Source organism: Homo sapiens, chromosome 2 (assembly GCF_000001405.40).
Source record: "Homo sapiens chromosome 2, GRCh38.p14 Primary Assembly".
NCBI lineage: Eukaryota > Metazoa > Chordata > Mammalia > Primates > Hominidae > Homo > Homo sapiens.
This window is the reverse complement of record NC_000002.12, coordinates 108,155,031-108,169,799: the sequence shown is the minus strand read 5'-3', so window position 1 is coordinate 108,169,799 and position 14,769 is coordinate 108,155,031. Positions and strand designations below refer to the sequence as shown.

The following is a 14,769-nucleotide window of genomic DNA, read 5'->3' as shown; positions in this document are numbered from 1 at the left end:
TATGATATTATACTACTCAATCTGGCTGGTTACTCCTCTTTTCCTCCCTTCTTTCCTGAAAAGAAGTGTGATTTTCCAGAATAACTGGCCTGAACAGACTCCATGTTTGCACTTTTTAAGAGTAAATTGTTGTGTGGAATTTCATCCTTGCTAAAGTAGGGTATTTGACCTTGCAAAAAGATGTATGTACTAATGCCACTTTTGGTCCTATAGAAGACTACAATGCCAGCATCTGGGATAACTACTAGAATGTTCTCTGCCATCCACTAAGCATTGAATCCCTCCAGACACTGTTACAACAGGTAAGAGTCATCCTTGTATTTATAAAAAAGATGAATTAAGCGAAAAGTTTGAAGAGACACCATGTGACTTGCATCTTTCTCCATCCGTTTCTCTCCATTTAGTCCATTCAATTGACATTTGTAAAGTTCCAAACTGCTTCCCAAAATTTGTCATGTGCTGAAGATGCACAAAAGAAAAAGGTTGCTTCCCATAAGATCACAGTGCTATGGGGGAGTGGACAGATAAGCAGACAATTACACAGAATGGCATAAATGCTATTAAAACATGTTCAAGATATAATAAGAGTTAAGAAAATGCACATACTTTCAGATAGAGGGTGCTTGTGTTAGGAGGTGGGGAAGTGGGGTAAGCTTTCAGAAGGGTTTGGTGTCTGAGCTGAGTCATTGAAGGACGAGTAGGGCCACAGGACTCGGAAGATGGCATGTTCAGTTCAGGGAGGGTGAGGATGCACCAGGTAAGGCCAGCATAAGCACTGCCTGGAGGTGTGAGAGGATGTGGTATGTTTAGAGAACTACAAGTAATTGAGGTTTTCTGGTGTGTATAAAGCAGCAAGAGATGGACGATGCCTGGATCATCAAAGGCCTTGTATTTTATGCCAAGGCATTAAATTCAATATTGAAGACCAAAAGGATTAAGTAATTTTTATTAGAGGAATGATATGGGTAGATTTCAATTTCAGAAAACTCACAGTACCTTTGGTGTGGAGAATGGAATTGAAGGGAGCAGGATGAGGTATGGAGACTCAGGTTTTGGGCTTTTAGCAGCAACTCTAGGAGGAATTATGAGAGCCTGACATACAGCAGTAGCCACAGGGATGATTCCTCTTGTATTTGAGAGATATTTGGGGAATAAGATTAATAGGAAGGAGTGATTTGCTGCATGGGAGGGAGACCAGCACTAAGGAGAGAAAGAGTTGATTCAGGTTTTGTGGGCTCAGAAGTTTCTATAACTTTGGGGATGTATCCTCCAGAAAAAAAAATACAAAATAAAGAATTTATATGGTGATGCTGGACACATGGGTCTGGAGAACTATGGATCATAGATGCCTCTGGATGTCATTGGCACATGAGTGAAGCCACAGGAATAGATGATACCACCCAGGCTGGAGTAGGAATAGAAAGCTGTGGCAAGCAGTTAGCGGGGGGAACAGGCATAATTACTTACAGGTGGCTAAAAGCAAAACAAACTGGGCCAAACTGGTTAGCACAGGGACCTTCCCTCTAGTAGAAAGGAACTGTTACAACAGGTTGTAACAATGTAGAGAGATTGCTGTCATCGTGCTTTAGGCACAAGTAAGATTGTAGCAAAGATGAAACTGACCACAACTGGTTAAATTAAAAATGGCCAAAATCTTGATCTACTGCTGACCCTTTTATCAGAAAATGTATGACACTATTACCATAAAATTTCCATGGGGAAGCCTCTCACTTTTATCATGCACCTGATGCCATGACCAGATTTACCACATTTAGTCAAGAAAAGGGTGGCACCCCCTGATTCTGGGAATTGCCTACCCATTTCCCAGAAAATCCTTCCCCTTATTATAGAATACTCTGTGACTTCATTATGCTTACCCATATAGTATTTGAGCCCTGACCATGTTGTGCATATCTCATTCTTTTGAGCACACATGCACATACTCCTGAGTGTATGCTTGCTTTTGCTCCACATTAAAGCTTCTGTACTTTCACTGTAGTCTCACTTTCAAATTCTTTTGCACTGCAAAGACAAAAACCTGTACTGGGCTACTGACAACAAAGCTGTGGCAAATCTCTGGAAAAGCCCAACATTCGGCTGTGGGAGAAAGAAGAGAATTATCCAAAATAGAGTGAGCAGGAAAGGCTCCAAGGATGTGAAGAAAACGAGGCCAGAGTGCTCTGGAGGCCAACAGGAAGGTAGTCTCCAGAATTGTGCAAGTGACGTACTTTCAGGTTTGCTGCCATTCACAACAGACAACCTACCAGCTTTCATGGTCTAAAGAGGGCTTAAATTTAATTTGCAAATATCTTCAGAGAAGAAATACAGTCTCTACAGTCTATACTGAGTTATAAGTGACTGATACCAGCTCTTCATTAGAAGGTTGTTCTTTCTTCTATTTGCCATGAACTACAGGGGTCAAAAGAAGGGTTAGCACTATCCTAGCTCCCTGTTAATTCTTGCAAATCAGCACTCTTTTATAACCCTTTGTAACATCCCATTTCAATGCATAATAGAAGGTATGCAGTCTTCCACCTCCTCATTGGTGGGTGCCATTTACACACTCCTGGCCAATCCCCTCATTCATGAATGATATTCATACCTTCCTTAAAGTCATCATGCTTAATGTCTTCTATAGCATTGAATAAACTCTGTACTATTTCCTTCACAGTGACTTCACTTCTGTTCTGTGGCTGACATTGGAACTTCTCTTTTTGTAGCTGTTGTCCCTTATATTTTCATTATATTATGTAAAAAACAGAAACTGATCAGGCACATGACTTCTGAGCATACTTTGTTGAAACTCTGGTCTCCCTAGCTGGTCTCAACCTGGTCTCTGGACCTGGTCACTGTCCACAGCACCATCCCTTATTCTCCTTATTGTTTCATTTCCCATATTACTAAGCAAAATAAGAAAATACTCCAGTTATTAGTAAGAAACTGTGTCAGATCCTCCTACACTACTCCTTTCCAGGTGCCCAGCAGATACTTTCTCATCACAGACACACACAGGAACCGGGCAGGGAATGATTACCGGGTGGTGGGGAATGGGCTCTACTGGAGGGCTGGATTTCATCCAGTGTCATTCAAATTTGAACCCCTTAAAAGTCCATTTAGGTGAAAGAGAACCAGCTGGATATGATTTCTGGCTTTTACTTTCATCCCTTGGATCTTCGGCGTCTGCAAATAAAAATATAAGTAGGTTAAATTTTGTTAGGTACTTGGAACATGGGTCCATAGTAAGTGCTGTATGGATGGATACAGAAATACATCTACTATATAGAATTTCTTTAACCCATTGGAAAAATATGCTCTTGGCTCTCTGGCCTCTCATCACAGGGACCCAAATCATTCCAGAATGCCTCTGGGCATAGTAACTAGGACTATAGCTCAGGAAGGACCTGGGAAGTATCCAGTTCAACCTCCTCCATGTTACAGAGGCAGAAACTGAAATCAGAGAGGGTAAACCACTACCAATCACCCTCTGATTGTGGTCCCTCGAGTTTCCCATATCACTGCAACAAAATAAGATAATAGATCTAAGCCTTCTGAAGGGGCTGTAGCCATGTATTCAGCATTCATTTAATGAGAATATAATGCCAGTGGCTCTGGTAGAATTCTGCCTTAAAATGAGTTTACAATTTTGGAGATGGTGTAGAACATGTCTGAGGCATATATAAACCAAGAAGAGGCTAGGGCAGAATTTCTAATTCTAGGGAGCATGAGGCTACTGACCTTGCAGCATGAACAGGGCTGATGAGTGAAGGCAGTGAGATCACCAAGACTGTCAGTTCAGAAGGGGCCCAGAGCCCAGCTGTGCTGCATGTCGATACAAAACTCGTGTACAGATATTCAGCCAGCATGCACCAGCTGTGGGTGGAAGAAATTACTTTCACTGTGTCTCTAACCCGCTTGCTCTCTGTGGCTTTGTCCACAGAAGAAGGAAGAAAGTGGTTTCTGGGCCCTGGCACTGTTTAGTGCTGGGGGAATTATGGTGAAGCCCTCAGTAGAGAAGTAGCTGGTTTAGTAGGAGACCAAAGCTGCACTGCTTTCGACTTTGCTGCTACAGGACATCAGGTCCCAACCCACAGTGTAATCAGACAGTGGGAAAGAACATAAGTACCTAGCAGCGTTGGATGTTTAGGAAGACATGTTTATGTTCATATTTATATTTAATATTTGTATTAATACATAAGGGGTCCTTGCTAACCACTTCTCACAGTTTTCTTCTACTCTTTAAAGATCCATAAACTGGCCAAGCATGGTGGCTCACACCTGTAATCCCAGCACTTTGGGAGGCCAAGGTGGGCAGATTGCCAGAGCTCAGTAGTTCGAGACCAGCCTGGGCAGCATGGCAAAATCCCGTCTCTACTAAACACACACACACAAAATTAGCATGGCATGGTGGCATATGCCTGTAATCCCAGCTACTTGGGAGGCTGAGGCAGGAGAATCCCTTGAACCTGGGAGGCAGAGGTTTCAGTGAGCCGAGATTGTGCCATTGCATACCAGCCTGGGCAACAGACAGAGCGAGACTCTGTCTAATATAAATAAATAAACAAATAAATAAATAAATATCCACAAACAATTGTATTATTTCTGATAAAATGACTATTTCTATTTCTGGGTAGACAGCCAGAATTTTCTATACTTTTTTGTCTTTCTATCTGACTTTTAACAGAGCCAATGCCCTCTTGAAAGATAAAAATGACCACCTCAGTGTCTTGTACATTATCTGCTTCTTCTGCCTTGTCCTCTTTCTTTCCAGGGCAAAAGGAGAAAGATGAAGATAGACATATCCCTGCTGTCTTTTCCAATTAAAAAAAGAATAAATTGCTTTCCTAAAATCCTAAAAGCCAGAAACTGGGTGTGATTTTTCTTGCTGGTATGGATGGCACACTTAATCTACCATAGTGTTGAATTATTGATGCTGTATTTCTGTTTTTCATAATTTTGTAATACGCCCTGTAAGCTTGGCTTCACTGTGGGCTTTCATCCTGATTTCACATTTTATTTTAGCCCATGAAAACAATTAATAATTTAAAGTCTTCAGTTACATGTTATCAATCTCCTTGGGAGATTTTCAAGGCAACACTGATTGAAATGAAATTCTCTCCATATTCCTGGATGTTTATTATGGAAAGATACAGCTGCATTATTTTTCTGAAGTGTTACATATGAGCCATACATCAATATGGTTACCCAGCATGCACATATGTTAATGTGGAGTTTAGTAGAGGTTATTTTTCACCCATTGGGTTTAGTAAGGTTATGATAAACGCGGCCAAAGGGATTTGTGAGAAGACATGCTATTTGGGAAACTTCCACCATGAATTTTACAGTGCCAAGAAAAACAGCTCTGTAATGTAAAGTAAATTGATTTAAGAGAGAATTGTGTGCAAGCTCATCTCAAGAGGTGGGAATGGTTGACAGAAATAACTGAACATTTGTGTTATTTCTAATTGCTAGAGTGAATGACAGGTAATGGAGGTGGGGAATTGGGAAGTTTTATTCTTTTCTTCACCGTAGTAAGTAGATTGCAAGAAAAATATATTTCTTTTCTTTTGGAAAGGGAATTAAGGCTTCTAAACTTGATGTAGCACAACTTGACAGTTTTGCAAAAAAACAGCTTAAATTATTGAAATTTCCTATATTGGATTTATAGATGCCAAGGAGTCACTAATAATTTCTTCTCTTTAACATCTACTCAAGTGGTCTCTATGTAGTTCTGAAAATAATAAGGGAATCACAAGTATTAGTGATTATATTCTAGCACAGTTGTGCCTACTGGAGGCTTCTAGTGCCAGAAAGGTAGGCAGGAGGTTTTCTTTGTATAGGATAGCCTGCTGGGCTGACTCACAAATCAACACAGCCCCATCAGAACTGACTATGCTGCAATAATAACTTCCACCTTTCCATCCCTAAAGTATCGTCAAGTATGAGGCTCAGAACAGCTAGAAAATGCCTTTCTAGCCATTGTTCTGGTTAGTTGGTATTCATATTAATGCAGATGCATTTGCATATGTTTCAGCCAGGAAAGGACCCTGTGTTGTGAAATCATAGCATTTTGTTATAGTCCTTAGAGAGTGAGGAGGCATTATTATGAAAGCACCTGTGTTCCTGGACCATCACCAATGCTGGGCACTAAATACATGGTATCATTTCTTTGATGCGTAAACAAATGCAAGGCACTTCAAACTCCGTGTATCACTTCATCTAAATTGGCAACATCTCACACTAGTTTCCCCCTTTGCACTAGAAGTATTTTTTCGAAGCCAATCTCTTAGACTTTCCAAACTGCCTAATTGCCTGCTCTGTCTCGCGTCTTTTGCTTCATCCTCTCCAAGTCACCCTGAACTGTTGGAATGGTTATCCCAGATTGTGGCTTAGGTCTCCTATCCCTTCTTCTATTTCAGGGATTTTCCTTCTGCTCTGGAATAACAAAGGCCTAGAATTCATCTGGCCCTGGGAACACCATCATTAGCTTTATGCTTTTGCACTTCCAAGTCTTATTGTTCTTAGAGGCATTGGACCTAGAGCTGTTAGAAATGGAAGGTGCCTGCGTGATGCTCCTGTTAAATCTTTTCAGTATTCAGAAGAGTAAATGGAGGGGTAAAGTCATACAAATGGCAAAGAGCAGTGCTGGAATGCAAAGAAGTTCTCTGACCCCCATGAGCTGCCCTTGAGAGTGCTCTGACAAAGCTGGGGTCAGTGGGTGCATCCTTAGCACTTGGGCTGTCTCTGCAGGGCCTGATCCCAAGCAAAACCCTAATAGTCCTGTGGGGAAGGCGTGGGGGGCTGAAGAGAAGAATGAATAAAGTGGTGGAGGTGGGGAAGGGAGGAGAGAGATGGAAGTGTCCTGTAAAAACAGGAGGGAAGTCCAAAAGCACAACTGCATGCATCCAGATTGCTGGTATTTCCCATTTGCAGGTGGTGCGCAGAGGTTGTGATGACCATGGTACAATGCCTGGGCTCCAGTCATGTCTCCATTGCTAAGTAGAATGAGCTGCAGAGGAGGTTCCAGTCACTGTTCCATATAATCTGTTGCTTAAACCCTGATATTTTTTCCTTATCTGTTTTTAATTTTAGAAAAAAAGTTTTAACATGGAGATTATGGCTTCCACTGAACTGGGATTTAGTATTTCGAAACATATAAAAAGGATTTCTAAAATCAAAAGATCTATACTTTTTTCTCTTTCCATCTGGAGTCAACTGAATATTCAACTTTTCCATTGAACAAACAAACAAACAATTGTGCTCCTGACTTTTTCCAGGCATTAAACAATATAATAACAAAAATGAAATGCAAATAAATGTACTTTTAAAACTTTAATCCTACAGCAAAAGATTCTACTGGCTAATAATGCTACCTGCCTGAAACTTTATATTCTGATATTTTTCCTTAATAAAAAAGTATTTTTTAAAGTTTTGCCTATTTTTTTTTTTTACAATTTAGATATCCAGCATGATGTGTTTGTCTTCCCTGTTCATTAAGATCTTTATTAGTATTTTAATTCTGTTTTTATGAGAATATATCATAAAATAATTTGAATAAATTTATATACACTATGACAATGCATCATACATTTTAGAAACCTGGTCTAAATAGTTTAACTTTCATTCATCTACAGGTCTTATATGTGAGATGATCTTTTGTTGGGCAGATGTTGCTACTCAGGGAAACAAAAAAAAAAGAAAAAATGTGCATTGGGTAATTGTCCTCTAGTGATGTCAAAGTACTTTATCTGGATTTAAGGATCTGGCTCTCAGAGCTCAGACACCTTGTACAATATTAGTCCTGCTATAAATTTAAAATTTTATACAACGAAAGATATTGAAATCCTTACTTACCAAGAGGATTTTAGATATCCCTCTGTGTGAGAATGAATAATCACAGGATACATGGTAACTGATGGATATTAGGATGTATCTGACAACTCTTCTTCATTTAAACCCAATGAATGGTGTAACCTTAATGGTAAAGCTTTAGGTAATTCCATGCTGCATAATGAATTGCCTTAGACATTTTCTTATTCAATTAAGAAAATAAACACACATCTAAAGAAAGAAGTAGTCCACACAAAGGAACTAGCACTGCACCGAAGTGAGACAAGCAAGTTTGAGATTCTTCTTTGCTACATACCAGCAATACTATCTTGAGCAGTTTTCTTTGTCTGAGCTTGTGCAATATTCTTGAGTCCTTTTCTGAACTGAAAACAGAGTGATTTGTCTGATGTATAAGTGGAAAGAGTTTGAGGAAATAACTTAGCTGGCCTATCTTAGGACCATGACCCTTTCTTCTCTTCAGCAGTGGAAACCTTAGAGCCTGTGTCCCGGATGTTGTTGTAAGCTACTAAGTTTGTGATAACTTGTTATGCAGCAACAGGGAAGTGATACAATATCCTTGTGATTAAATTAGATTTTATATGACATTTTGGAGTGATTGGAACATACATTTTTGCTTTTGAGCCAATGGCCACAGTACTTTTTATTAAAAAGTCAGGGCTATAGGACTAAACAGTGGGAAAAAATTATGGACTATCATAGGTCATAAAAAACATGCCAGAAATATTTTCTTATTTCTAAAAACACTCTCAAGTGATAAACAGAGATGTTTTTATACCTGTTGTATGACAAGAAGAGTCTGAAGTCATTTCTGAGTCTAACTACAGTCCACATCCATGAGAATCTGAGGGGTTGGACATAAAAATATGCACATATAATTATGGCAAAGAAAGTTTTGAGTGGAGTGGACAGTGTGACTTTCTCCAGTACTGTTGAAATCTACTTGCTTGAGTTTGACAAAAACAAAATATGGCGTAGAATTGAAAACATAGTGGTAGTTGATACTGCTTTTGTCTTGCTCCAGGCTTTGTTATTTTATCTCACGCTGCTTATACTTCTTTAGAAACTACTATTAATCAACCATTGCACAAAGGGAAAGTTGTTCCCCTATCCATGAATATGTCATTACCCTAATTTAGGTGCCATATATTGAATTTATAATGTAAGGTATAAATATGAATTTTGCAATAATCAATCAAATAGGAAGAATAATTTATACCATAAAAGAAAGGTGTTATTTTAATATCTGAATATTCAAGTTTTTGATAGAAATTTGACTTTCTTAGAATTTGTCAAATTTATGCATGTAAGCATACATTGAATTTTCATTTAAATTTTTATATACTTTATAAAACCAAAATTGTAGCACCATAATTGGATTATAACAAACTCAATTTGTATGTTGTCAAAACTAGTGGATTTTAGAATGTTAGTTATTATTATTGTAGTTATAATTACTCTTGGAAGACCCAGAGGTCACCAAATATAGCACAAAGAATCTGAAAGTGCTAATTAGAAAAATTCTAGAAAATTTAAATCTGTGTTAATTATGAATGACATATTTATTTTATCTCTTGTCTTTACCTCATGCCTTTAAATACCATGATTTTTCTAAATTTTCATCATCCAAAATACCAGTTGTTATGCCTTTTGAGATACTTCACTTATTGTGTAAATAATCATTGAGAACTCTCCAGACCAGTCTCTTTCTGTGCACACACACTCACACACACACACACACACAGAGGGAGAGAGAGAGAGAATGAAATTTATTTCTGAACCATTTGAGGATGATTTACCTACCCATGGCTTTAATCTCTAAGTACTTCAAGGTATATTTCCTAAGAAAGTCATATTATCTTACTTAAAAATAGCACAGTTATCAATGCTAGTAAACTTTACATTTACATATTTTAATTAATCTACCACTTACATTCCAATTTTACCCTTTATAAGCATTTTCCCCCCTCTAGTATAGGTTTGTGTGGAACCGAGGCTGCAGTTAATTATTTCTCTTTGGCCTTCTTTTATCTGGAACATTTCCATACCTTTTTATTTTCGCCTTTTAAAACATTGATTTTTTAAAAATAATTTTTTAAAAACAATATTCTCACTTTGAATTTGATAGATCCTTGGGATTAGATACAGGTTTTGCTTTTTTGCCATGAATACTGTATAGTCGGTTGTGTCATTTTCAGAGTCTCTTGTCTGGAATCACTTGATGTCTATTTGTCCACTTTTGGATGATGTTAATTTTGGTGCACTGGTGTGATGGTCAGTTCCATGCATCAGCTTGGCTAGGCTGCAGTCCCTGGTTATTCAGTCAAAACTAATCTAGGTGTTACACTAGAGGTATTTTTTTTTTGTATATATGACTAAAGTTGACTTTCAGTAAGTGAGACTCCCAAATAATCTTAGTGGCTTGATTCAATCAGTGGAAAAGACTTACAAGCAGAGCTGAGGCTTCCCTGAAGGAATAGTTGTTCTTCCTGTGGACAGAAGCTTTGGCTCATGCCTGAGAGTTTCAGCTGCCCTTCTTGATGGCCTGTGGTATGGACTTGTCTACTCAGCCCTCACCATTGTATAAGCCAACTTCCTGCAATAAATCTCTTTATGTATGTCTCCTACTCTTTCTTTCTTTCTTTTTTTTTTTCCTGGTTCAACCCTAACTGCTAAAGATTCAAATCTGCATTAGTTTCCTATTTCTGTCATGACAAATTACCATAAATTTAATGGCTTAAAGCAACAGAAATTTATTATTTTAGAGTTCTGGAGTCCAAAAGTCTAAAGTGTGTTGGCAGGGCTGCATTTCTCTAAAAGCTCTAAGGAAGATGCCATTTTCTTGCTTTTTATACTTGTAGAGACTGCCTGCATTCCTTGACTCATGGTCTCACAGAATTCTGACCTCTCCTTCCTCTGTCAGTCTCCTTCTGAATCTTAACACTCCTGATTCCCTTACAAACACTTTTGTGACTATATTGGGCAGACCTTGATAATCCAGGAAAATCTCCCCATCTCAAAGTCTTTGATTTAATCATATCAGCAAAGCATTTTTTGCCGTGTAAATTGACATATTCACAGGATCTGGGGGATTAGGAGGCAGTCATCATTGCAGAGAGCCATCATTTTGCTCATCCCAGCTTGGCCCTCTGACTCCCAAAGATTCACATCTGTCCCATATGCAAAGTGCATTCACCCCATTTCAAGGTCCCCCAAAAGTCTGAGCCCATTATGCCATCACCCATCAAATAAAAATTTCATTTAAGTGTCATTAACTCAAAACTCCCGAATCTCATCATTTAAATCATCTGCATTTGGTATGGGTGAGGCTCTGTGTGTAATCCATCTTGGGGCAAAATTTCTCTTCATTTGCAGACCTATAAAGCTAGAAAACAAATTATATGCATCTATGATGCAATGGTGAGATAGGCATAATAGAACAATTACAGACATTTTTATTCAGAAGGATAGAAAACAGAAAGAAATAACGAATTCTCAGCCCCAAGCAATTCTAATATCCAGCCAGGTAAACAATGCTGGCTTTGGAGGACTGGAAGCAATCCTCTGTGGTTCATGACTCCACTCTTTGGGCTTATGGCTCTGTCCTTGGAGTCATTTTAATTTCATGAGGGTTAGCATATTCTGGCTGCTGAATAGTTTAATCAGTCTGTTTCCAGTCTGTAGAATTTTGGTTGTCCAGCATTCTTCCTCCATGTTATACTCTTTACGTCTCTTTCATTTTGAGCTCGCAATGTTTCTGTTGGTATCATATCTGACGGACAGTGGACAGTGTGGGTCTCCTGTGTATGTCTCAGGATTCACCCTACTAGATAAGAGATTCCTTCACAGATTTTACCTGAATAATTCCATCTCTACTTTTATCTTCTGGCTTAGATGACTGAGAGGATCCATAAATAACATGCCAATGTTTTCAAAGAATCCTCTTTGTGTCTAAATACTCTGACCTTTTCATTCTTCTGACACACCAAGCTGTTTAGCCATACCTTTGGCTTTCTCTCCAGGGCATGCTTTCCTGAGAGTAAATTTCCTCATTTTAAGGACTTTTGATATTTGGAATGTCTAAAAATGGCCCATCTATCTACTTCTGCTTCCTTGCAGCTTAACAGTTTTCCCCTCAATTTTTTTTTCTTCTAATATTTTACTATATAAGAAGCAAAAAGAAACCACGCTGTACCTTCAACGCTTTGGATGAAAATATTTTCAGTTAATATCCAAGTTCATCATTTATACGTTGTGCTTTCCACATGACCATAGTTGCATTTTCTCACTCTCGTAGGAATGCGGAAGGCATGAGCCTTCTGTAGATTAATCTGTCCTTCTTGTTGGTGTCATGTTTTGGGAGGGGAAACGAGTGAACAGATGAAAAACCAAGATTTGTTATTTTCTCCAGACCTAAAATCTTTCATTTCTCTTTCATATTTTACCTAATTTCTTTAAATGTTTCTTCTCCTTTTAATCTTATTGGAATTCAGGAGAATTATCAAATTATTGGAATAATTTGATTCTTATCCAATAATTTAATCAATTTATTCCAATAATTTGATTCTTAGCAAGTTTATTTAGTCCTTGTTTTTCCCCTTAATATGATAATTAAATATCTAATTGTCTTTTAATTTTCAACTTGCTTTCTTTGTTCTGAATTTTTTCTTCTTATATTTTTGTTTTATCACCTGGATTTTGAATCCGCATTCTTTTTTTTTTTTTTTTTTTTTTTTTTTGAGACGGAGTTTCGCTCTGTCGCCCAGGCTGGAGTGCAGTGGCGCGATCTCGACTCACTGCAAGCTCCGCCTCCCGGGTTCACGCCATTCTCCTGCCTCAGCCTCCCGTGTAGCTGGGACGAATCCGCATTCTTAAATTCTGCTATATCTTAAAGCATTGGTAGGTTTTATTACATTCCATGGGTAATGTGTTCTTCCAGAATGAGTTCTTCTTAGTTCCTAACTTCTTTTACCTTTCTCCCTCCCTCTCTCCTTCTTTCCTTCCTTTTTTCTTTCTTACATTATTATATTTCCTTTATTTGCTTACCTAGTTGCCATGCTAATTATGATCATCTTGTTGATGTCATAATTGTCAGCTCTCTCTGGATTCTTACTTTTCATTGATATAGTATAGGTGAATACTCCTTGGCATCCTTTTTGCATCTTCTGCCGTGGTTTGTCTTTTCTTCTGAGTATGCTAGATATTGTCTATTGATACTTAATACCATCTCAAATCCTTTAAACTCTAATTTGTATCCTAATGGCTAGAAACCTGAAACCTGTATTTTACATATTCTTTTGACATTTCTGGCCTACGTTTTCACTAGTAAGAAGCAGTTGAATGATATTTGGAAGATTAAAGAGAAAGGGAAGCCATTATTCTCTGTTGGTAGCAGCAGTGGCTCCTGGACCCATCGACCCATAGGCAGATAATGGATTTGAGGTGTGCAGTGATTTCTTAGTAAGTTCCTTTGTTCTTTGATACTACGGATAGTTAAAACACTTAGATTTTTTTCTTGAATAATTGCTGATATGCTCAAACCACATTTTGAGGGTTACTATAGTTTTATGAAGCCCATGGGATGAGAACATTGTGTAGCAATGTCAGATAATACTAAGTGACATCTTAGCTGGACCTTTGGGCTCCATCTCTTTGGAGAAGCTACTAAATATTCTGAGGTTAGGACTACTTCCTTTAGCCAGGGGTATCCATAACTTCCATGAACATCAGTCATGCTAATTTTGATTTAAGAAATGTCTTATTAGTCTCAGAATTAATGCATCTAGTAACAATGTAAAAATGTTCAAGATGACATAGTCAGAACTTGCTATCAATAAAAAGTGGGTCTTATGTGGCTGTTCCTTGTGACATTATCTGATTGAGAACATTTGACTGAGGACCTGACTCAATATAAAAGTCCTAAACCCTTTTGGCTGCCTTTCCCTTTGGCTGAAATGGGAAAATAAAGCTATTTCAACACTAATTGGAACATCAAGTTTGTCTTGGATTTCTAAGTCAATATAGGTATAAACTTAATTAAAATGACAAATGGAATTAATAGAGCTCACCTAGGTCCCTCAAAGGCTGCCAGGATCAAGGGAAAGTTGGACACCAGCATTGCAGTGAGTAAGGAGGGTTCAACCTAACTGGCAACCAAACTCACAAGATCCAGTCGGCTTCAATCTAATACGGCACATACTGAGCCTTACAGGAACATACAGTAGGAAACACTGTCCACACTGCATCTTGTCTCATAGCACAATAGCTACCAAGTAATCAGGATTTCAAATGCCCTCTCCCATAAGGAGCAAGTATACTTGCTGCAAATGAGAGCCAAGGTGTGCTTGCCAAGCTGACAGAGCGAAGCTAAGATTTCCACCATGTTTATCCAATTCTATATCATAGGCCCAGTGCTCACTTGCCAACTCACAGCTTCCCAAGCTCAGGTGCCATCCTACAGGAAAAAAAATGTTCACAACAAACAAGGCAGGCACACATTCCATATTTTTCTTAGCTTTGTTTTCAGGCATTCCTATAAAAAGACAGACCATTGCAGGCCTGATATTAACCCTTTTCCCAGAATTAGATAGATTTTTCCAGGAAGACGAGCCAAGATTTCAATCTGATTGCTGATTCAGGACCTAAATAAAGCGAGGAGGAAATACTGGATGTATCTTTCTCTACCTGCTTCAGGTTATAACTCCATGGCTGCAGGGAGTCTAGATGCTCCTAGGATGAGCCAAGGCAACACCATTTTGCCACAATTCTTACCTGTGTTCTGTAGCTCTAAGCAGAGATTGCCACTTATAATCTAGAATCTGTCATGTGTAGGTGACAATAGCTTTAACTGACTTTGCTTTAGAATAAGATGACGTCTACTTGCAATAGATGAAATTCGAATTTTGCTTTTTTTTTTCCTCTGGC

General features: G+C 38.4%; 1 long non-coding RNA gene across 1 annotated transcript in view, besides 1 other annotated feature; it reads left to right on the top strand.

The window, feature by feature from the left end:
- Positions 1-2,052, top strand: part of LINC01594 (long intergenic non-protein coding RNA 1594) — a 50,094-nt gene extending 48,042 nt beyond the window's left edge. The window contains exons 4-5 of the long non-coding RNA NR_131251.1: positions 214-302; positions 2,031-2,052. This is a non-coding gene — a long non-coding RNA (long intergenic non-protein coding RNA 1594). The remainder of the gene's footprint in view (positions 1-213; positions 303-2,030) is intronic.
- Positions 14,103-14,341: a silencer, noted in NCBI's record as "fragment chr2:108771915-108772153 (GRCh37/hg19 assembly coordinates)". NCBI's record gives its function as "represses an EF-1alpha promoter that drives an FKBP-Casp9 reporter gene in an ReSE screen in HepG2 liver carcinoma cells {active_cell/tissue: HepG2}" and the evidence as "EXISTENCE:reporter gene assay evidence [ECO:0000049][PMID:32094911]".